The sequence below is a fragment of the Homo sapiens genome, chromosome 11 (assembly GCF_000001405.40).
Source record: "Homo sapiens chromosome 11, GRCh38.p14 Primary Assembly".
NCBI lineage: Eukaryota > Metazoa > Chordata > Mammalia > Primates > Hominidae > Homo > Homo sapiens.
The window spans coordinates 111,723,063-111,746,056 of NC_000011.10; the positions used below are offsets into that span (position 1 = coordinate 111,723,063).

At 47.4% G+C, this 22,994-nt stretch overlaps 2 protein-coding genes across 17 annotated transcripts in view, besides 3 other annotated features; one reads left to right on the forward strand and one right to left on the reverse strand.

Annotated features, from left to right (window-relative positions):
• The window catches only part of SIK2 (salt inducible kinase 2), a 128,407-nt gene extending 120,614 nt beyond the window's left edge, over positions 1-7,793 (forward strand). For both annotated transcript variants that reach the window (NM_015191.3, XM_017017417.2), the window contains exon 15: positions 434-7,793. In NM_015191.3, coding sequence (NP_056006.1) covers positions 434-1,067 — 634 coding nt within the window. In that variant the 3' untranslated portion in view covers positions 1,068-7,793. The remainder of the gene's footprint in view (positions 1-433) is intronic.
• Positions 1-22,994, reverse strand: part of PPP2R1B (protein phosphatase 2 scaffold subunit Abeta) — a 78,390-nt gene that overhangs the window by 35,063 nt on the left and 20,333 nt on the right. For 8 of the 15 annotated variants that reach the window (XM_024448600.2, XM_047427193.1, XM_047427194.1 and 5 more), the window contains 4 exons: positions 20,314-20,468; positions 19,461-19,603; positions 18,991-19,082; positions 14,386-14,507 (listed from right to left, as the gene is read on the reverse strand). In XM_024448600.2, coding sequence (XP_024304368.1) covers positions 14,386-14,507; positions 18,991-19,082; positions 19,461-19,603; positions 20,314-20,468 — 512 coding nt within the window. Of the gene's footprint in view, positions 1-3,850; positions 3,996-4,990; positions 5,149-14,385; positions 14,508-14,814; positions 18,551-18,990; positions 19,083-19,460; positions 19,604-20,313; positions 20,469-22,994 lie in introns of those variants that run through there. The other 7 variants (NM_181700.2, XM_017017960.2, NM_181699.3 and 4 more) reach the window with 3 other exon arrangements.
• Positions 245-780: an enhancer, noted in NCBI's record as "H3K4me1 hESC enhancer chr11:111594031-111594566 (GRCh37/hg19 assembly coordinates)". NCBI's record gives its function as "activates a minimal SCP1, AML or CMV promoter by ChIP-STARR-seq in naive H9 embryonic stem cells {active_cell/tissue: H9 hESC(naive)}" and the evidence as "EXISTENCE:reporter gene assay evidence [ECO:0000049][PMID:30033119]".
• Positions 9,585-10,401: an enhancer, noted in NCBI's record as "H3K4me1 hESC enhancer chr11:111603371-111604187 (GRCh37/hg19 assembly coordinates)". NCBI's record gives its function as "activates a minimal SCP1, AML or CMV promoter by ChIP-STARR-seq in primed H9 embryonic stem cells {active_cell/tissue: H9 hESC(primed)}" and the evidence as "EXISTENCE:reporter gene assay evidence [ECO:0000049][PMID:30033119]".
• Positions 11,982-12,618: an enhancer, noted in NCBI's record as "H3K27ac-H3K4me1 hESC enhancer chr11:111605768-111606404 (GRCh37/hg19 assembly coordinates)". NCBI's record gives its function as "activates a minimal SCP1, AML or CMV promoter by ChIP-STARR-seq in primed H9 embryonic stem cells {active_cell/tissue: H9 hESC(primed)}" and the evidence as "EXISTENCE:reporter gene assay evidence [ECO:0000049][PMID:30033119]".

The following is a 22,994-nucleotide window of genomic DNA, read 5'->3' on the forward strand; positions in this document are numbered from 1 at the left end:
CACAGGAGCCTTCCGTCCTCCCTTACTATCATGTGTGCCCACAGCCTCGCTAGTAGAAGCAGCTTGGCCAAGGTAGACCTACCCTAATCAATCCATCAACTGCAGACACCTGCAGAGGCCAAGGTGTGATTATCTCCCCTTCTAGCCTCTCCAGAAGGGAAATCATCCTCTCATTGTATAAAGGAAAAAACTCGGAGTCAGAGAAAATGCATTCCTGCTCACGTTAGTACTGAAGGATCATCAGAACTGGGGGGCAAAACATGAGATTAGGTTTAAGAGACCCAACACAATTGGTTCCCATTCCCACTTGTTTTTGCTGACATGAGAGAGACTTAAGTAGAAGACTGAAGCTAGTGACTGGTATTGCATTTACATTAAAATTGCCATCACTTGAGAAGATTTAAAATTCTTTCCTTTGATATTACCAATTTAGGCTCCAGCAGAAGCGACTCTTTCTTCAGAAGCAGTCTCAACTGCAGGCCTATTTTAATCAGATGCAGATAGCAGAGAGCTCCTACCCACAGCCAAGTCAGCAGCTGCCCCTTCCCCGCCAGGAGACTCCACCGCCTTCTCAGCAGGCCCCACCGTTCAGCCTGACCCAGCCCCTGAGCCCCGTCCTGGAGCCTTCCTCCGAGCAGATGCAATACAGCCCTTTCCTCAGCCAGTACCAAGAGATGCAGCTTCAGCCCCTGCCCTCCACTTCCGGTCCCCGGGCTGCTCCTCCTCTGCCCACGCAGCTACAGCAGCAGCAGCCGCCACCGCCACCACCCCCTCCACCACCACGACAGCCAGGAGCTGCCCCAGCCCCCTTACAGTTCTCCTATCAGACTTGTGAGCTGCCAAGCGCTGCTTCCCCTGCGCCAGACTATCCCACTCCCTGTCAGTATCCTGTGGATGGAGCCCAGCAGAGCGACCTAACGGGGCCAGACTGTCCCAGAAGCCCAGGACTGCAAGAGGCCCCCTCCAGCTACGACCCACTAGCCCTCTCTGAGCTACCTGGACTCTTTGATTGTGAAATGCTAGACGCTGTGGATCCACAACACAACGGGTATGTCCTGGTGAATTAGTCTCAGCACAGGAATTGAGGTGGGTCAGGTGAAGGAAGAGTGTATGTTCCTATTTTTATTCCAGCCTTTTAAATTTAAAGCTTATTTTCTTGCCCTCTCCCTAACGGGGAGAAATCGAGCCACCCAACTGGAATCAGAGGGTCTGGCTGGGGTGGATGTTGCTTCCTCCTGGTTCTGCCCCACCACAAAGTTTTCTGTGGCAAGTGCTGGAACATAGTTGTAGGCTGAGGCTCCTGCCCTTCGGTCGAGTGGAGCAAGCTCTCGAGGGCAGCACTGACAAATGTGTTCCTAAGAAGACATTCAGACCCAGGTGTTATGCAGGATTACATCCGTTTATTATCAAGGGCAACCTTGGTGAAAGCAGAAAGGGTGTGTGCTATTGCATATATATGGGGGAAAAGGCAATATATTTTTCACTGAAGCTGAGCAACCACATATTGCTACAAGGCAAATCAAGAAGACATCAGGAAATCAGATGCACAGGAAATAAAGGAAAGCTGTGCTTTGTCATTGAATCCTAAGTTCTTAGCTGCTGATGCAAGTTGTCCCCCAAGGCCATCACAAAGCAGTGGGGCATGAGCTGTGTTTCAGGGGCCACTAAATAACAGCTGGTACTGACCCCAGAAACCGCCTTCATCTCCATTCGGAAGCAGGTGACACACCCCTTCAGAAGGTGCCCTGGGTTGCCGAGTGTCAGAATATACTCAGGACTCCAGAGGTGTCACACGTGGAACTGACAGGAGACCCGCCACCGTGGAGGCAGGGGGCAAGAAACTCAAGAACGCATCAAGAGCACCAGCCCTGGGCCAGGGAAGACAGGCTCTTCCTGCAGTTTCTCGTGGACACTGCTGGCTTGCGGGCAGTCGGTCTCCAGGGTACCTGTTGTCTCTTTTCCGATGTAATAACTACTTTGACCTTACACTATATGTTGCTAGTAGTTTATTGAGCTTTGTATATTTGGACAGTTTCATATAGGGCTTAGAGATTTTAAGGACATGATAAATGAACTTTTCTGTCCCATGTGAAGTGGTAGTGCGGTGCCTTTCCCCCAGATCATGCTTTAATTCTTTCTTTTCTGTAGAAACCAACAGTTTCCATTTATGTCAATGCTAAATCCAAAGTCACTTCAGAGTTTGTTTTCCACCATGTGGGAATCAGCATTCTTAATTTCGTTAAAGTTTTGACTTGTAATGAAATGTTCAAGTATTACAGCAATATTCAAAGAAAGAACCACAGATGTGTTAACCATTTAAGCAGATCATCTGCCAAACATTATATTACTAATAAAACTTAACCAACACTTACAATTCAGTCATCAAAGTAAGTAAAAATTAGATGCTACAGCTAGCTAACTGTATCCCTAGAAATGATGAATAATTTGCCATTTGGACAGTTAACATCCAGGTGTTACAAAGTCAGTGTTAATTCTAAAGATGATCATTTCTGCCCTTTAGAATGGCTTGTCCCATCAGCAGATGAATGTGTTAAGCACAAAGCATCTTCCTTAAAGCACAAAGAGAGGGACTAACTGATGCTGCATCTAGAAAACACCTTTAAGTTGCCTTTCCTCTTTGTAGTTAGCGTTCAGGCAGGTGACGTGTGGAAAGTCTAGGGGGTTCCATTCTGGCCATGCGAGCCCAGCTCCTACCAACGTCGGTAACTTGAGCAGTCCCTGTTGCTGGCCAGAGACTGCCTGGTCGCCAGCGCTCACCATGGGTGCCAGGATGCTTCGCAGAGGCACTGTGCTCACGGTTGGACTTGGTGTCAGTGGGAAAGGGCAGTGTGGGGACTGTCATTTTTGTGATTTAATAACACACAGTGAAAATCCAGGAAGAATGAATTAAGCTTCTTCTGGGAGTTGTTTATTCCTGCTCGTGCTTAAGATTGATGATTTCGTGAAATAAAGAACATCATTTCATTTAAGAGATCATTTCATTAAGATCTCTAATCTGTTTTGAGTCTTTACAAAATAGCCAGTTATAAAATGGGGCTTGATTTGTTTAGACTGAAGGAAGACGTTTTCCCAAAATATACTACAGAAGTGCTACAATATTTGCGATATTAAAATGCCTGCAGATTGAAAATGGGGGCCACTCATTTCAGAACTGCAGGAATGGTGTAGTTACAGATCGACATAAACTCCTGCCCCCCAACAATGCCATGAGCTGCTTAGCCCAGGAGACCTGGGAGCTATGGCAGGACGGTTAGGCCAGCCGATGAGGGACTGCAGAGAGGCTACTGGAAGGTTAAGGACCCAGAGAGAAATCGAGAGGTGCCCTACAGCAGCCAGGCCTATCAGGATCCGTCACACACGGCAGCGGCGTGGACACCGGCCTGATGCAGAGCGTGACCCCTCCTGCTGGGACCTGTGTTGTAAGCTCCTATTTGCTTATCTTGTTTATTTCAAGCAGAAATCAATAAATTCCATAACCCTCTGTATTGACTGCAATGTAAGCTGCTGAGGAGACTGGTTCTGTTGGTCAGTCAGGTGTTTGCTCAGCCCTGTCTGATCACCTGTGCTGCTCTGTCCCTAACTAGTGACCCATGGAAGCTTCCAAGCAGTTTTCTCTTCATCACTACTAACAAACAAAACACTAAGAAGGCTTAGTATCGCTCTTTTTCTGCGGGGCTACTCTGAAGTACTGACTTGCTTTCCAGTCTGATTCACGTTAGCAGTGTGTACACTACTGTATCATCATCAGCTTCATCACCCTGTAAACCAGGCTCCTCTGAAGAGACTTTGGTGAGATGAACGTGAGGTAAAAATTTCGTTCGGCAAAAAGTGCAATATGTGTGGTACTTTATTTTTTATGTTCTTTTTTTAAATCTGGGGTATTAGTCTGTGCTTTGGGAGAAATGCACTAGCTCTGCAATTCCCAGCTGGGCAAGTGTGTCTCTAGTATCTCCACGCAACTGATACACTGGTCCCTGTAAGGCAAACAGCATGTTAGCCCGACAGGAAGAGGGGGCCCACTTTCACATTCCCGGTGACACTGACCGTCCCCAGCTGCCCCCTCGCCACCTCTGCCTGCACTGCCTTCTGTCACCGTGGGAAAAGGAGGCTGATGGTTCTCTACACCATCCACCTTGAGAATCCCTGCGTGGGAGAGCATCAGGGCCCACCAGGGGAGTGGGGATGGGGCTCAGGGGCTGTTCATGCCCATCTGAGCAAACCCCTTCTCTCTTCCATCCACTTTTGCCTCCTAGGAAAGAAAAAGTCAGTGGCCCTTTCTTCCTCAGATATCAAGAACTCCCAAGTGTTTAAACCGTATGCTGGAGTCAGTGGTTGGGACAGACAGGAGCCCAAGACTGAAGCCAGCCCTTGCCTCTTGTGTCCCTTCCCAACTCTGGTGCTGGAGTAATGGGGTGCTCTGCATTTTGATGGGGAGCAAGGGGGGACCCCCCCTGTAGGAGTATCGGCCTCTCCCCTGCCCCCTACCCTCTCTCGTGGACCAAAGTCTCCAGCAGAAGAGACTCATCATAAGACTGACGACTCCCCCACCTCCACCCACACACCGAGTGTCATCAGTCCTAAAGGCAGGGAAACGCTCACAGAATTCTGCCCACGGGTTAGATGTGGGGAGAAGGATATTCTCAGCTCCAGAGTGATTAGGTGATCAGCCAGAAACTAAGGCAAGGTGACAAGCAGCAGCCTGGAGTCACAGTTGGTCCCAGGCGTGTGGGCACTAAGCAGCCTCTGGAGACATGCGGGCAGTTGAGGATGCAAGGACACAGTGAGTGAGTGGCGCTCCTTTTTGGGGTCCTCCAGCCTCTAGTCAAGCCCCAGGTTCGTAAATATGTTTGTATTACATTTTAAAACCTGTATCAACAGTCACATTTAAGCTCCCTATTGGTTTAAAGAAAATTCATACTCCAGGTAACTTTTTCCCATTCGACCTCCTATAGAGACAATATGCAGTGTGTCATTTCACAGTCTCAGTCCCTGTGAACAGTGGCTGACACCGGTGCCAGGGCTGACCTGCTACACTCAAACTCCTAAACTGGGCTGCCTCTAACTGCCTCCTGGGAAGCCACCCGAGCCACTCGGTCTCTTTGTGCCTAAACATGAAAGGTGAAAATTGGAGAACAGGGAAGCTCGTAAGTTGGAGTCATTGTACAGGCAGGGATCTTTGATCATTTTGTTGCTTCTGGAATTTATTTAATTTTTTTTTTTTTTGAGACAGAGTCTCGCTCTGTCACCCAGGCTGGAATGCAGTGGCGTGATTTCAGCTCACTGCAACCTCCACCTCCTGGGTTCAAGCCATTCTCCTGCCTCAGCCTCCCAAGTAGCTGGGACTACAGGTGTGTGCTACCGCATCCAGCTAGTTTGTATATTTTTAGTAGAGATGGGGTTTCACCATGTTGTCCAGGCTGATCTTGAACTCCTGACCTCAGGTGACCCACCCACCTTGGCCTCCCAAAGTACTGGGATTACAGGTGTGAGCCACCACACCCGACCTGGAATTTTTTTATAGAACTTATCTTCAGAGCAATGTATGAAAGACAAGAGCAGTATCAGCCGGGCGCGGTGGCTCACGCCTGTAATCCCAACACTTTGGGAGGCCAAGGCAGGCGGATCACGAGGTCAGGAGATTGAGACCATCCTAACACAGTGAAACGCCGTCTCTACTAAAAATACAAAAAATTAGCCGGGCGTGGTGGTGGGCGCCTGTAGTTCCAGCTACTCGGGAGGCTGAGGCAGGAGAATGGCGTGAACCCGGGAGGTGGAGCTTGCAGTGAGCCAAGATCGTGCCACTGCACTCCAGCCTGGGCGACAGAGCAAGACTCCACCTCAAAAAAAAAAAAAAAGACAAGAGCAGTATCATCTGCCTCTGTTTCTAAACTGGACAAAGAGATTTTCTTAAAGTTTCTATCATCTCCCTTCTGACAGGTTCTACAGTGTGGTCTGAAGCACCTGTAATGTCAGAGCCCTTGTCTGGCCCTTGGTGGCAGGTGAACGAAAGCAGTGGAGCCTCTCACCTTCCAGTAGCCTCTCACATTCTTATTTTACCATTTTTGTCCTAATTAAGGTAGCCTAGCTGATTCTAGAAGACAGCCATCCTACGTGCACCCCCACCTTGTGTCCACATCTTCTCCAGGCAGGTTTCAACCTATCAGCAGACTCAGGCACACACTGGGGCACAGATAGAGAACCAGGCGGCAGCAGTGCTCGCAGACCCACCCAGGGAGAGCTGTGATGGGTTCTGCCCAGATACTCTGCTCGCCCACCCACAAGGGAGCAATAGCTTATATTTGTACATTAGTTTTACCAAGCACTTTCTCTTCTAACCCTCACAACAATTCTATGAAATTAGCTGGGGAGATACTGTCCTTATTTTTCACAGCTGAAGAAACCAAAGCTTTGGGAAGTTTGTGACTTCTCTGAGATCACAGCTGGTGATAGAAGGAGCTGGGACACGCGCTTGGGTTGACTGGCTTCTGGTTTTGGTTCTCTGGCTTCTAGTGCTGGAAGAAGCCCTCTCTTTCCCTTCTCTTTCCTCAGTAGCATCTGACTCTTTTCATAAGCAAACAGCTGTATAAACAAAGCCCCCATTTTGGTCAAGCACAGGGTGAATGTGATATTGTTCCCACAACCTTATTCTCCACTCAACAGCCGCCTGGCTTTGGGGAAGAGGCCGCCTTCAGGTGACAGTGCAGCTGTCCAGGTGGCCGTGCACTGAACCAGGCTGAGGGAGACAAAAACCCCGCAGACCCGCCTGCCTTTCAGCGTCCAGTTAACTGCAGAAGTTTAGGCTCACCTCAAAGATGTCTAGTTTTTCCAAGTTACAATACAGCAGTTTCCTACAGAACACCCCCTTCCTCAATTGCCAAGGGGCCGCATCGCACGGCATCAGGCCACCACTGCAGGCCAGCAGATTCCACCCCAGGAACGGTCATGAACTCAGCCTTTGTCTCAACGAGGGGCGTAACATTTCCTTACAGTCAAGCCCCATCAACTAGAAGTGCTTATTACTTTTAGGATTAAAAAAGTAATAACAGACTTTGACTTAATACTCTGTCTTTTCAGAGGCAAAGTGGGTGGGTAGAGGGGAGCTTTAAAAATAGAAGTACAAAACAACATCCTGGAAACATATGACCCCAGATGGAATAATGTCACATTCCCCAGTGCAGATAATGGGCTGCTGCTGGCTCTGTGGTGTCTGTCTGCAGAAGATTTGCTCAGTCAAGGAAATTCAAGTGGTGAGACCTTTCCACCATGGGTGGTAAGAGAAACCTGCCTTCACCAAAATCTCTGAAGGGGAAAGAAGTGGAGAGAAAGGTTTGCTTCACTTCGGGGACTGCAGTTTGAGAAATAAAAGGGATACAGAGATATCTGCACTTTGTAGAAAGGGCAAGATTATTTGCTTATATCTGAAGGGAGGTGGGTGGTTTTGCTGGATGTTTGGTCTGAAAGAGTTACTTTTGATAAAGTTAATCTAACTGTAGTTATATTTTCTGTGTGCTTTTTTTTAATTACTAAGAAAAAAATTGGTGAGTTCAGTAGCTTTGGTATTATGAGTGCAAATCATAATAGCTCCAATGTGAAAAAAAAAATCAAAAGTATAACTTGTCACTTAATGTTAGAAAATTGCCTAAAATGCAGTGTAATAAATAATCTCTGTACCAAATAGTAATTTAAATGGGGTAATTTTCTGCAAGGAAAATGTACTGTTTTTATGTTTCCAACCCTCTTGAATTAAAATAAAAACAACTTCTTTTCTAAGAGCCCGGGTGATGTGAATGTCAGGTTAATGCGATAGGGTTTTTGCCTCATCGGGCCTTGGGTGGAATTTTTAGAGTATGGAAGGTGGCTGTGTTCTCTGAGTTCTGGTGCTCATTTCAGGCTGCAGAAAAGGACAGTGGATAATATGTTCTCATTGACGTCAGCAGGGTAAATAATACCTTGCTCTGAATCGCCCGAGTACACGTTAGCCGCTGCAGATCGCTGACGGAAGCACTGCTAACCGCAGCCTGCACAAGGACAGGGCCCTGCTGGGCACTGCTTAATTACTGCTCCTTGATTCTCAGAGTCCCAGGGCAAAGCGCATCAGCCCAGGTAGCCTGGGCAAGGGCCTCATGCCGCGGTAGGAGGAGGGGAGGCAGATGCAGGGGTCCCCGAGGACAGGCAGCTACAGGGCAGGGGCTGGAAATGGGAGGGGAGGTGCTGCGAGCTGCCAGGCAAAAGACACTGCTACTTAGTCACGATGTCACATCTTCTCTGGGGTCTGCCAAAGGCCTCGACACTGCACGTGCGCTCACACAGTGCATTCCCTCACATGGGCGGGGCACCCTTTTGAGGCCCAGCTCCACGCCCTCAGGGTGCTGGAGGCACCATGTGCCAAGCTGCTCTCCTGCATCCTGGACCTGTTTCAGTGCCAGGCCCTGAGTGAAAGGCCACTGTTATATCCAGCTTGCTGGCAGCAGGATCTCGACTGAAATTTGGTTTCACTCAAACCATTCCAATTAAGCCCATGCTATAGAACATTGACAGTTCCCTCCCTGCGGGGTGAGCCGCTGGTCTCTGGGTAGCGGTGGGAAGGTGCAGTCGGCAGGGCCCACACTGGCAGAGGCTGGAAGGAGCGGAGCCCTCTCCACCAACGTCCACTGCTGCCTGACTCTGCTGACAATAGCTCAGTTCTGCCTTAAACTGGTGGTTACCCCTTGGCTACCCAAAATTTCAGTATTGCTGAGTTTCATTTCTTTTTTAAGGAAAGCACTAAATTTCAGTAACAATGTTTTCCCTTTCCCACCAGATTTCTCCATCATTCTTATTCTGTGTTGCCAAAAACAACTCCAATGCCCCAGGACGCAGGCAAAATAACAGACCAGTGGCCAGCTAGGCCCCAACCCCGCACTCCCCAGGACACTCTTCAGTTCTGCAGCCTTTGTGAGTCGAAGGCTCCAGCAGGGTGGGGAAGGAGAGCAGCAGGGAGGCCTGCACCCCAAACCCAGGGCCTCTGCCCAGTGGATGGAACCAGACAGCAGTGCCTGCACTTCCCAAGTTCTCCATCAAGACGCAGGACAGGTGGGAACAGGGCCCAAGGTTCTGTTCCTGGCGAGCAGCTGCTTTCTGCCCCACTAGATCTTAAATCGAGGACTCAGAGATCCCCTTGACATGCAAGCTATGGACTATTCCCAAAGAGCATGTACACAGACCCAGAACTTCGGACACAGAATTTCAGGACAGGAGTTGGTTCCTGGGCCCCCGAGGCCCCCCTCCCCACCAGGGACCAAAGTTAGGAACCCCTGACTCAGCCTCTGCTCTCTCAAAAGTTCTTGGCCAGGTGCTGTGGCTGACACCTGTAATCCCAACACCTTGGGAGGCAGAGGCAGGTGGATCATCTGAGGTCAGGAGTTCAAGACCAGCCTGGCCAACATGGTGAAACCCCATCTCCACTAAAAATACAAAAATTAGCCAGGTGTGGTGGCGGGCGCCTGTAATCCTAGCTACTCTGGAGACTGAGGCAGGAGAATCACTTGAACCTGGTAGGCAGAGGTTGCAGTGAGCTGAGATCGCACCACTGCACTCCAGCCTGAGCGACACAGCAAGACTTCATCTCAAAAAACAAATAAACAAACAAACAAAGCTCAGAGGGACCCTCCCTGCTGATGGGTTCTCATCCCTCCCTGGGTGGATCCAGGTGACAGGGAGCCTCCTGCTTGCCAGCAGCCCGTGGGCACCATGGGAGGAAGTTCTGGGCTTTGTGCACTAAATCCTGGGTGCTATGTGGCTACAAAGGAAATGTCACCTGCACAGAACATGGCTGCTCTGCCCTTCTCATTTCAGCCCCACCAGTGACTTCAAAAGCTGAGCAGCCCTTGAGCGATGGATTATCGCACAGGAATCATCCTGGACAACGTCCCTTAGGAGGCAGATGTGGGTCCTGACTGAGGCGAAGGGGCTGGGCCCTCCCTCAGACACAGGGGCCACTGGCACACCTGCCTCCCCCCAGGTATGAAGCTGTGCCCACAAATCACTCAGGCCAAACCCAAGGTCAGGCAGGGCAGAGAGCTTGCCAGGCGCCTCGGCCACTGTTCTTTCCAGCAAGCCTTCCTGCTGCTGCCTCCCTTTGTCCGTGTTTCTGGGGGGATTTCCTAGGGCAGACTGACTCAGAGCTGCTCTGAAATTGGCAAAGAGAGATTCCAAGCCCAGGGAAAGCATGAGCTGGGCTGAGCCCCCGAGCCAGCACAGTGTCTGGGAGGGTGGAGACAGGAGGGAGCCACAGCATGGGAAGCGGACTTCCCCTGGAGCCGAGCCCCCAAAAGCTGGATAAGCAGAAAAGCTCAGAAAATGTGGGCCCAGAGGAAAATGAGGCATTAGGGATTGAGCTTCTCAAAGGGAGAACTGAGTCACTCTCTCCTCAGGTCGGCTGGGACAGTTCTGGCTCCAGCTCCTCACTCCCCAAAAGTGAAATGCCCCGAGTGGGGCTGACTGACAAATCAGACCCTGAGGAGACTGTTCATTGTCACCCCAGGGCCACCCACATAGTTGGGGGTGGGACACAATGGAATGGAGGAAAAGCCCACCAAGCCCTTTCCTCCAAGCACGCCACACATAGCTCCCGGAGCGCACAGCCTTGCCTGTCTCTTCTGTCTGGGATCCGCCAGAACTGCCTTCCAGTCGCTACAGAGCCCAAATGCTTAGCAGTGCCCCTGTGCCAGCAAAGTGAGGGCTGAAGGGCAGGCAGGCAGTGGAAGGGAACCAGGGATGAGAGGGCCAGGCAAGGAGGGCTAGGCACAGAGCAAGCCTGGGAGAGCAAGGCCCGGCTCCCACCCAGCCCGGGAGCCACCACCTGGCCACCCTCCAGGCAGGGACATTCTGGGAGGCAGCAAAGAACCTCTGACAGAGGCCTCGGCCCCTGGCGCCCTCTCAGCCCTGCCACTAACCCAGGCAAATCATTGTAAAGGCTGGTGTCTCCAGTGGTAACTTGGAGCACAGGCTGGCTGGTTTCACCCCAGGGTTTACTGCGAGGGGCAAATGCAGCCTGGCCTGGCACTCCTGGAAGACCCCCACTCCCCTGGAGGGCTGTCACAGAGTCCCACTCTGCCTATCTTACTTTAACTCTTGCCTGCCCCAACACTAGGTACAGAAAATGGCTGCTTCTTGCCTGTGAGCTCTGTCTTCACTGACTTAAGGGTGGTTGTGCTGTTCTGAGCATCTGCTTCAGGCTAAGAACTGGGAACTCTGCCCCAGGATTTCTGAATTTTCGGAAATGAGTTCTAGGCATCAGACATGGGTACCACAAACATAAGAACATCCCTGAGAATCTATGTCACAGGTAGGAGGACTTTTTTATCTCCAACTGTTAGGTCAAGCTCCAGTGTGGAAAAGACTTGGAAGGCCTGGGGGAGTCTTTTTGTGCGGACAGCTCGGCCCCTAGGCCCCACAGTGGAGAGGGCACTGACAGGAGGTCAGCCTAAGGACCTGCTCCCGTGTGCCCTGTCACCAGCCTACGTCTGACTTCCCCATGGACTTCAAGGTCCAATTGCCTTAGCTGGAAGCCACTGGGGATGGGACTGAACATCCCTGGGCTTTGGTCTTTGTCATCAGTCCTCAGTTTGACTGGACTCACATCTCCTGTAGTCTTTCTGGGTTCAAGAGAACAAAATCCGCTGGCCAAGAGGTTGGCCCTTAAGGAGCTCCTCCCCTTCACACACTCCCAGCAGAGCTCCTCAGAGCTGCCCTTGAGACCCCCCAGGGCAGCGCGAAGGCCCTGCCAGCCTAACTCTGTGGGAGGAACAGGACATGCAGCTAGATGCTAGAGGCTGGCTCTAGGACAAGTGAGGTTCCTGAGCTGCAGAATGGCTCCAGCCTCAGGCCCAGAACAGCCTGGTTCACCAGCAGGTGCTGATTAAATCCAGAGAAGAGACCCGCATCGAAAGGCACAAGTCAGAGACCCTCAGGGCCCAAGGGACTCTCTGAGTTTGGGGAAAATAAGGCAGGCAGGAAAAAACCAGAAACAAGAGTAGAAGGGGCATGGAAGGCAGAAGATGGTCTTAGCTGGGACGTGGCGCAGGGGCTGGTCTCGGGTCAGTGTGTGTACAGGACAGACTGTGTGCAGAGAAAAGGAAGAGGAGGAGGGTGGGCGCAGTCAGGCAGTGTCTGTAGCCATTATTTATGGATGCTTCACTTGATTTTAGTCTCCAAACCTGGGCTCGGCATGGAGACTGAATGTCCCTCACAGCTGCTCCTTCCTGCAATAACAAGACTGACATCACTGTTGTCAGGGAAATGGTGTTTTGATTAAAATCATGTGACAGCTACTTGGTGATTCAATAAACAAATCCCCTGTTAACCCCTGCCTGACAAGGCCCGTCAGCAGCTTCAGCGGGGGCACCCTGTGTCCCGTCCAGGAGTGAGCCGCTGCCGGACCCGCGGCAGCAAGGTGTGGGAGGTGACCCTCGCTGCTCCCTGGCAGATCCTGCCTGGGTGGACACATGTGACATCCAACACAGAGGCACCTCCACAGACTTCAAGGGTGCCAAGGAGGCGCTCTTCACCAAGGGAGACTGGCTCTCGCCCTTTCCCTTTTCTCTTCAAGTGGCGGGCCCAGCCCCAGGGATGTCCAATGGCTCCCTGAGGGCCCTGAGGCTGGCTGAGAACTGACAGTTCCCAGGGCTCTCAACAGCAGCGCGCTCACGCTCACCCCATTCGGACAGATTGGCAAGTCCACTACGCACCCTAGACAGTGAGGGGTTAAGAACAATTTCTGGTTGCAATTGGATGACTTCCTGGATCACTCACTTGGCTGCTGGCCCCTGACACACAGGGCTCTGCCTGGCAACAGCCAATTCCCTTTCCATCTCACCCTCGGGTCATTTTCCTTAAGTGAAACAAATGCATGGAAGGCTCCCTGAGTCATGGGGCGGGGGATTTTTCTGAGTTAAATGAACTGAAGCCTCAGAGGCCTAGCACCACTGGGCCTCCTTTCCTGGAAAAAAGATTCCCAAATAGACATGCCAGGGGTTGGAGGAGATTCATGAGGGACCAAAAAACAATGATAGCACCTACCACCTAGGGTGGGTGAGGATGACATGAGATTTGAAGTGCCTGACAAGGTGCTGCAGTGACCAAGGCTCGAGTAACGGCAACTTATTCTCAGTAACTCCTCGGCTAGCAGAGGCAGCCCGGGCCCTGTCAGAGCTGAGCAGGTCAGCCATGGGAGGGCCGCCTCAATGATCCACACTCAGATCGGGTCATACCACGCATTCATGGCATGAGCAGCTGGCTCTGAATTTGTAGGAAGACGTAACCCCTTTCTTCCCAAAGAAGTCTGTGGTTTAGGCCTAAAAAATGTGTAACTGTCACTCCCACTCCTTCAGCCAAGCTCTCCTCCCTGAGGCCCAGTTCTGTGAAGACGACATGGACTCCAAGGGCTGGCCACCCCTGGAATCCAACTGGACAGTGGTCACCCAGCCCTTCCTCTCACTGTGCGGCCACTGCAGGAACGGCTGGAGCTGCCCACGGACAAGTGTGCAGCCCCTCAGGAAGGCAAGAATGTTCTAAGATGAGTGACTGCGATTCTGGACCTCAACAAAAGGCAAAAAACGTTTTCATGGTTTCGGTTCACATAAAATGAAAAGCCATGTGACTTAAAAGGCAGCCTTTTTGATGTTACTTCATTGAATTTTCACTAAGCGAACCTACTAGAATGGGTGTGAGAATGTCAGATTTTTCCCCATGAACTAAACGCAGTCTGGCATCCGCACGAGGCAGCCAAGCCCTGCTGCTCTCCTTTTCTGAATGTATCTGTAAGCCACAAATCGCCCTCCTAATGAATGGCCCTGGGGCAGTGGCTGGCACCCACTGACTGCTGAACTGGGGCTTTTCACACCATTTCCACACAGAGTGGCATCCAATGGGGCTTGTAGAACATCTGAGCTGTTACAGAGAAACTTGCAACTATTTTTATCTTGAATGGAAATAACTGAGAGGAATTATGGCAAGTCACTTCTATATTATGTGAGGAAAGTGGGAACAGCCCCTTTTTACAAGCAATTCTTCACCAAACCCCACTGGTGTCCTCTGTATGGGCCTCGCTGTTGGACTGGGAGGTGATAGGAGATGGGCCTCAAGCTACAAGAGTGACAGCTCTGGCCGGCGACCCACCTCTCAGAAAGCATTCCCAGAATGAAGTAAGCCAGCAACAGGCTTTAACCATCTACTCCCGGCCCTTAAAATTGGACTCTTCCCCTGGGGACAAAGTGAGAGGTGCTGCTTCTCCGCCTACCCTGTGGCAGCTCCCTGCACACCATGCCACCCTGGCTGCCCGCAGCCCTGAGGGCAGGACTTGACCCCAGGCTTCCGGGCACTTACCTTCCCCATGTCCTCTCCAGGCACTGTGGGTCTTGGGAAGTGGTTCTTGTCAGCCCGAGGGACACTGGGTTCTCCACTGTCCTTCACAGGAAATTCTAGCTTCCTCAGCCTTTGTGCCACCACTAGAGACACAGACAGTGGCGCTGTAACTGTCCCTGACCAGGGCACATCCCTCCCAAGCCCACCTGTGCTTCCCAGCCAGGATGCCCTCAGTTGTGCCAGCAGAGTTGGGTGTCCAGCAGCAGCCTACAAGTATATGGGGCACTGGGCAGAGAAAGCTGGGGCAGCCCAGGGTCGTGCTGAGGTGCCTTTCCCTCGGGGCCCTGGAAAGCGCCACCCCATCGGGCCTTTTGGTGTCCACCTGGCTGTTCCCCACATCCTGGTCACTGATGGTCTCCAGAGCCCCAACCACAGGAAAGACCTGGCTCCTTTCAGAACTCATATCAGTTTAAGAGAACAACTCTGGAGACAGAAATGGCTTGGCTTTCCGACGCAATGAGTAATTAAACTCTATTCGTCCTCCGGAAGATTTCCATCCCAACTGAACGTTATGTAATTTCCTGGAAACAGCAGGCTCGTGGAGGCAAACGGGGGACAGTGAGACTATTCTAGGTACAGAGGACTGGAGGGAGACATGCGAGGGAAGAGGAAAGAGGAGAGTAAGGAACTGGATGGAAACAGGAATACTGGAGAATCAAAGGGAAACAGTTACATCACATCAGACTGCAGTCACCTCAGCTGCTAAACCAGGAGAACACTGGGCAACAGGGCCTCTCCCTCTACAGTTTCATATCCAAGCAGTGGAGAAAAATAAGAAGCTTTACGATAAGAGTGTCACCATTTTTAAAAGTCAGAGGAATTTAAGTAAAAGGCAAGAGGACAGAACAAGCACCTGACCTGTTTGGCCACCCTGCCCTGCCATCGCCACAGGGACAGAGCCAATGTGACGTCTAAGGGCAAGCCCCAGCCTTTCAGTTTAGTGACAACACAACAGTTAACAAAGGAACAAAAGTGCACCAGGTTAACCGCCGGGTCAGGAAGGACAGGCTTGCTTCCCTGGAAGTCTACGCAAGCAACCTGAATGCCTGGACAAGCCAGCTCAAAGGTCAGGCTGCCGTCTCTGTTGAGTCAGGACAAGTTGTCTGGCAAAGACCCCTGGGGCTCTGCATCACAGTGGCTGAGCTGTGGTATTTCTGTGAGCTGAGGGCAGCCCGTTATTTCAACAAGACCTCGTTAGAAACCACATATTCACCTGCCTTCCTTCTTATGAAACAAGATGCATCCTCAGGTTCACATCTTCTTGGTAGCACAGAGAGAGAAACAAGACCTGGTCTCTTAAACCTGTGAGGGGTAAACCCCACACAAATTACAGAGAGAAACACCAAGGTGAATTCCACTGTTGCTGAGACATTTTTATTGGCATAGGTTATATGTTTGTGTGTGTGTGTGTGTGTGTGTGTGTGTGTGTGTGTGTGTGTCTGCTTCATTTTTCTAATCAAACAAACAACTGATGTAAGCTGCCAAGGATGAAAAACAACATTACATGTCTGAAGCAATCAGACAAATCCACACAGAACTGTAGTCTAAGCCAGGGGACCAGAAAAGGGCCACATAAAGCTTGTTTCCTGAAAGCAGGAAAATCTTTCTGTCAGTGGGAGAATAAGACACAGTCTGGTTCTTTTGATTATTTGTTCCATGCACACATTGGAGGATATTTTAGAAATTCATCCATTGAACACATTTTTATTGAGCACCTATTATGTGCACCAGACACTGTTCCAGGCACTGGCGATACAGTAGAAGATAAAACAGACAAAAATACCAGCCTTACAGAGCTCCTAAAGCCTATATTCCAGTGAAATCAAGATAGGAGAACTTTTCCCTTAAGTTTAAGGTAGTTAAAAAAAAAAATAGGAGAACTAATTCATGGAGAACATGGCCAAGTTATGAGCCAAAGCACAATTCCTCTGAAGAGTACCAAAACAAATTCTCTCTCTATTGCTTAAGTCAGAAGGAAACAATGAAACCCCTGAGGGGTCACCACAAAAGACAGAGGCCCCGCTGAACCCCCGACCCATGCTTGAGAAAGCCAGGGCCCACTCTCCCTCTCTCAAACAGTTTTAGGGTAGAGAAGTCAATGCTTAGGGCTCCTCACTGGGAGACACAAGGGCATTTTAAAAGTCTGTCCCCAAAACAATGGCATTTCCAACCAGAGTAAAGCAATGGTTCCAGTGCAAATCTGCTTCATGAAGACAAATGTCTCTCAAATATGAAATTCAATGAAGAAGAACATAACTTGCAGGTAACAAAAAATAAAGACTCATGAAACTAAAATTAAAATGTTTACAGAATAATAGCATAAGATATTAAAATGAGAATATAGAAAAAGATTTGTGCTTAGGAAAATACTTAATTCTTGGCCCAAAGTCATAAAATAGAAACTTACTATAAGGTAATTTGGCAGTTTAAAATGCAGACAGATAACCTCTGATTTACAATTTCTATTTTTCGAATGTAGGACAAATTTTAAAGTATTTAGTAAAACTTGGTTTTATGTAACAAATATACAAAGTCTTAGAGGAGTCTTTGGGCCTTCACTAAACAGAACAGGACTTGTTAGATTTAAAAGAGGTTGTGAACAAAATCAACAATTCAAAAACCAAAAGGGTAACAAGCAAACCTCATAGCAAGATGCACTGAGAGAAAAATAAACTATGGGAAAACCCCCTTAACCAAAAGTCATGAGACAAGGTGAGTTTGATTATGTGAAAAATAGTTGTTTTTTTTTGAGATGGACTCTCGCTCTATGGCCCAGGCTAGAGTGCAGTGGCGCGATCTCGGCTCAGTGCAACCTCTACCTCCCAGGTTCAAGCAATTCTCCTGCCTCAGCCTCCTGAGTAGCTGGGACTACAGGTGTGTGCCACCACGCCCAGCTAACTTTTTTGTATTTTTAGTAGAGATGGGGTTTCACCATGTTGGTCAGGCTGATCTCGAATTCTTGACCTCAAATGATCCCAAATAGGTGCTTTTTAAAAAGGGCTTTAATACTGTTTAAGTAGTTCAAATAGGCTTCCTCACTATTAATTTGCTTCAGTAAACTCTTCAGCTTAACTCATTATCTTAAATTTCAGAATTAATGAGGTTTTACTGTAAAAGTAGAAAAGCAAACACTTCAAATGATAAGACTCCAGTATCACCCATACTAAAAACTTAGCAATAAAACTGCAGTTTGAAAAGCTACTGTACAATGCAGCAAGGACTAGGTGTCAATACTGCTGGAAGCAGAGCCAGGTAAAGAACAGGAAATCTGCACAGTATTATCCCTGTGGTTCTTAGACTCATTCGAAATACAGAACTGCAATCTCACAATGAAACAAACATACTGCTTATTAGGAGGCACTACAGTTAAAGCTTTTTAGAAAAGAGAGAGAAGTATTTTTAAATGTAGGCACAGTGGTGAGCTGTTCAAATTCAGTTAGGCGTCAACATCACACATTAGCAGCAAGATGCAGCCACACTTCAGGTTTCTGAATGACATGAGTACAGACAAAATTGAGCAAATAAAAACCAAAACAACCACTACATTAACCCTGAGCTTCCACATTCCCCTTTCACATGAGACTAATGCAGACCATCATAATTCAGGAAAATGTGGCTTTCATTACGGTCAAATCTCAACATGTCTCCCGAAGAGTTTATAAAATAAGTTATTCTAAACATGTACATTTAGCTTTGGAATGATGGAGAGACACAGAGATATATGTAAACGTCAAGAGAATCACTCCACTCCACGTCTGGGTCCACACCCTTCCAGGCTTTGTCTGGAACATTATGTGGCTGGTGCCTGATTCCACAGTGAGGATGCAGGAGCCCAGGTGGTGATGGATAAAGCATTAGGAGACAATCAAGTGTCAGGAATTGGTCAATAAGAACGGCTTAAATAATGATTTAACAAGGAAGACGAGTAAAAAACAATCCCATTTCATCTTTAGAAAGAATTAAGTCACTAAATGATTTCTTCTAAGTTGTTGCCATTTGCTTGGATGAGATCTTGAAGGTTTTCCATTCTTTCTCCACCCAGTTAAGAACACATTGACTAGAAATTTGTGACAAGAATCTAGTAAAGGCCTTTTCCCTCCTGCTCCTCATTATGCCAATGCAAGAACTGGAAAATTCCAAACAAAATCAGGTTAGTGGTACAGAAAGTTCACGAACGATCTATGTGAATATTAAGCACAATAACAATGATCCAAACGTATCAAACTAACAACTTCTCACTGTGGTTACTGTCTTTACTCAGCCAGGCTAATCAGAAGTGAAACTTTAAAAACTGGTTAAATTCCAAACGAAAAACTATTCTTACCAGTGAGAATCGTATTTCCTACCCAGTCCTACATGTAACTAAGAAAAATAGCCTGCTCACTTATGAGAAAATGGTGGGCCAAGAGGGTTCTAATCAGAGAGACACCAGCATTCCAGGAACTTACTACCCTCCCTGTTTCCCATAATACTTATCATCCTACCCACTTAACACCTCTCACATAATAGAGATAAATCCCAGTTAACCAAGGCATAAGCTGCAAGGCAAAAGAAGGAAATACATACCACTTATAGCTTCCTGTGCAAAGTATTTGACATCCATGTCTTCATCTTGACCTAACTTCTGTAGTACTGGCTTCACTTCTCCCTGTAAAGCACTGACATTCAAAAGTATTATCTGTGAAAGACAGTCTAATGGGCCATAGAAATCCTTTTTGGTGTATATGGTTAATGGTAATTGTTAAAATTTAAAGTAAAAAAATAAAGACATTTATAAACTTGACAAATACACAAAATAATGTCTAAAGAAATTCTCAGCAAAATCAGCTTCAGACAAGGATCTACACATTTACAGAGCTTAAATATAAAAGTCATAGTGGACATCCTCAAAAATAGTTGCTAAATTATTTTCTTTAAGCAAACCCAGATCTTAAGTAAAGTGAAAATCCCTGAACTTAATTTTAGCTAATTACTCCCCACTATAAGGTAAAATTTAAAGTACACTTTTAAAACAAGACTAAACACTAAAATCTTACTTGGTATCTAGAATTGGTCCAATCTTTTGTAGAGATTTGGCCACATTGAAGCGAACATTTGCTACTTGGTCTCCTGCCATTTTTAATACGATGGGCAGCATTTGCTTAGTAGTTATTTCCTGACCACAGGCCTCAGACAGTGCCTAGAAAAATAAGTAAGATGGCACATTTAAAATACTTTAAAAAATTCCAAAATCTAATGAAACAAATTAATATTTAATAAGAAAATAATTGACCAATAGGAAAATATTTCTAGTTTGAGCAGCTGAGTGGGGGACACAAGAATCATTCAAATGATCAGAGAATTAGACCAGAATTCACAAATAAGTTGAACTTTTAAAATACTGTAGTTTTGTTCTTTGTTTTTTTTTTTTTCAGGCGGAGTTTTGCCTTGTCGCCCAAGCTGGAGTGTAGTGGCGCGATCTCAGCTCACTGCAACCTCTGCACCCTCTGCCCCCTGCCCAAGGTTCAAGGGAGTCTCCTGCCTCAGCCTCCCAAGTAGCTGGGACTACAGGCATGCACCACCATGCCCGGCTAATTTTTGTATTTTTAGTAGAGACAAGGTCTTGCCATGTTGACCAGGCTAGTCTCAAACTCCTGACCTCAGGTGATCTGCCCGCCTCAGCCTCCCAAAGTGCTGGGATTACAGGCATGAGCCACTGTGCCCAGCCAATACTGTAGATTTTAACATGAATTTTAAAATTGACATTTTCTCTCATCTCCTGTCTATTCCAATTAATCAATACAAGACATATATTCCAAATAGAAGACAGTATACTGATAATTCAGAAATAGTCATGAATAATTTTGCTTTAATGATTAAGCTTAGCAATAACAGTTATGTTATACTTACATTAATGCAGAATAAAGTGGTCATTCTATGCAAGTAATTAGGATCATTTGCCATTACTAACACTTTGGGAACAATAGTATTTTGGGCCCACTCTGTACCAAACTTCTGAACTAGTTTCATGAGGTTGTTGGTGGCAGCTTCTCGGATGGCGTATACTGCAGAAGAGGTCAAAAACATGTTCTCATATCGCTTATTGTTTTTTAAGCATAACCTAGTTTACTTACATGAAAATCAAATGTGGACCAAAAGCAAAACCCCTCTGCAATCAGACTCCACATGTAATCATGCTGCAATGACAAGCATGCTCAGCTCCAACTCAGTTTCCAAGTGTGCATATCCACAGAAAAGGGATGCAAGGAGCTCACCATATGCATCATCAATTATTTAACAAATACAAGTGCCTACTATGTGCTACAAAAAGAACACAGAAGATACTTTCCCTCACAAGAAATATGCTCTTATCAGAGAAATGAAAGCTAACACACTCCATGAAGTCACATGGTGTAAGAGCAATTAGAATGAAGTGTGGCATTGTGTAGTAAAGGCTGTGAGGGTTGTAGCAGTGCAGAGAAGAGTGAACAGGGAAGGTCTAGGAAGGCTTCGGCACAGAAAGAAGCCTTGACTGGGCAGTGAAGATTTGGGAGGATCTGTGTAAGTGGAGAGAAGCGGGGAGGAATTCCTAGAAAGGGTAAAGACATGTATCCAGGACACAAACAGAAAAAACTGAAACCTGTGAGACTTCTAAGTTAGACAATTAGGGTGGACCCAGACTGCAGAGCATTATGAAAGACTTAGATTTGATTAGGAAAAACAGTGATGGGTTTTTAAAGCAAACTTGTGACCTGATGACCAATGTGGAATTTTAGCAAGATTATTCCAGCAACATCACGGAGAAGCGACGTTGACTGAGAAAGACAACAAGGAAATGGTGTAGAGGCCACTGTGGTCATCTATACAACAGCAAATACAAACATCAGACTGACTTGCTTCCTCTCCATGAAAATGCTTAGGTTGAAACAAGATGTCAAATGTCTTTGAATCAATGTGCCTGCCTTAACATCTAATAATTCCCTATATCCTTTGATCATTTATCAAAGACATAAAGCTAGATAATAAAGGTCTCAGCTACAATCCTCTCACAATTAGTTGCTATATACAGCACTGAACAAAAACAAGCCTGGTGTCACTTCACTTTACAGATCCAGTAAGACTCAAAATTTGGGCTCAGATTAACAAATCGAGGGTGGTAGGTACTAATTCCTTATTCTACTTCTCTCCCCAGGTGGGCCCAACCTTCCTGGGATGATAGGAAGGGCAGGAATAGCTATCCAAGCCACAGTCCCAGTCCTAGGCAATTTATACAAGCCTCCAACCAAGAAATAGGCAACTTCTTCTATTCATAGATCCTTCTGGGCAATGATGTTGAGAACAAGCAAGACAGCATAGACAAGTGACCCATACAACTGATTATCAACACTTAAACTGACAGTCTACAGGAGAAGCAACCTTTCGGTAAGACTCAGATGCACTAAGGAGCAAACTCAAGTCAACTGTTTTACTGTAATACAGATTCCTTCCCTTCATATCCATAGTCTTTGTCTTTGGCCCAAACCCTTCCCTGTCCTCCCCACTAAAGAGGAGCTAGCTAGAGTATTTGTGTCTTCTCCTCTAATTTTTTTTTTTTTTTTTTTTTTGAGACAGAGCCTCACTCTGTCTCTCAGGCTGGAGTGCAGTGGCGAGATCTCGGCTCACTGCAACCTCCGCCTCCTGGGTTCAAGCAACTCTCCTGCCTCAGCCTCCTGAGTAGCTGGGATTACAGGCGCCCGCCAACACATCCAGCTAATTTTTGTGTTTTTAGTAGAGACAGGGTTTCACCATGTTGGCCAGGCTGGTCTCGAACTCCTAACTTCAAGTCATCCACCCGCCTCAGCCTCCCAAAGTGCTGGGATTACAGGCATGAGCCACCATGCTCAGCAAATTACTATTTTTTTTAACACGCTTTAGATTTTTATCATAATGCCATTACCATAGGAAGGGATCTCTACTGCCAGAAAAACCAGAGACTGGGGAACACACATGCATAGCCTTGACCAAGACCTTAACTGCACTGAACTCTACTTGGCCAGATGCCTACTATGTTCTTGGTTCCTCTGACTGTTTTCAGAAGAATGCAAACCATTCCAGAGTTCTGCCTGTTTTCTTTTGTCTATTTCTGTCTCTTTCTCTCTCCCCATCTCCTCTCAAGGCCTGGCTGACCTGCAAGGTTTCTTTGAATGTCTATCTATGCTCAATAACTGATACCTTCTCCTTTCTCCTATAATAAATAAATAAATTTCCCTTCTACATTCCTCCCTCTGATCAAAACTGTCTACTCAACCACAGGAATATAGGTGAGTGATACTTTCTTCCTTATACTTCTCTGGAATTTTCACAATGTTCTTTTAGTAGTTACCTAACTAGGGGAAAAGTTTCAAAAACTCTAACTGATCCAGTGATCATTATATAACACTTATCTGAAATGCAAAAGCAAAAAAGCTCCTGTGATTAAGTACAAAACAATTTCAGAGCTGTTATTTCATTGGTTCATGGAACTCTTGCAGTCCCCACTTCAGCATGCTGCTGCAGTGAAATAAACAAGGGTTTCTCCTGCTCCCAAACTGAAAGAGAAAATCCGAAAAGAG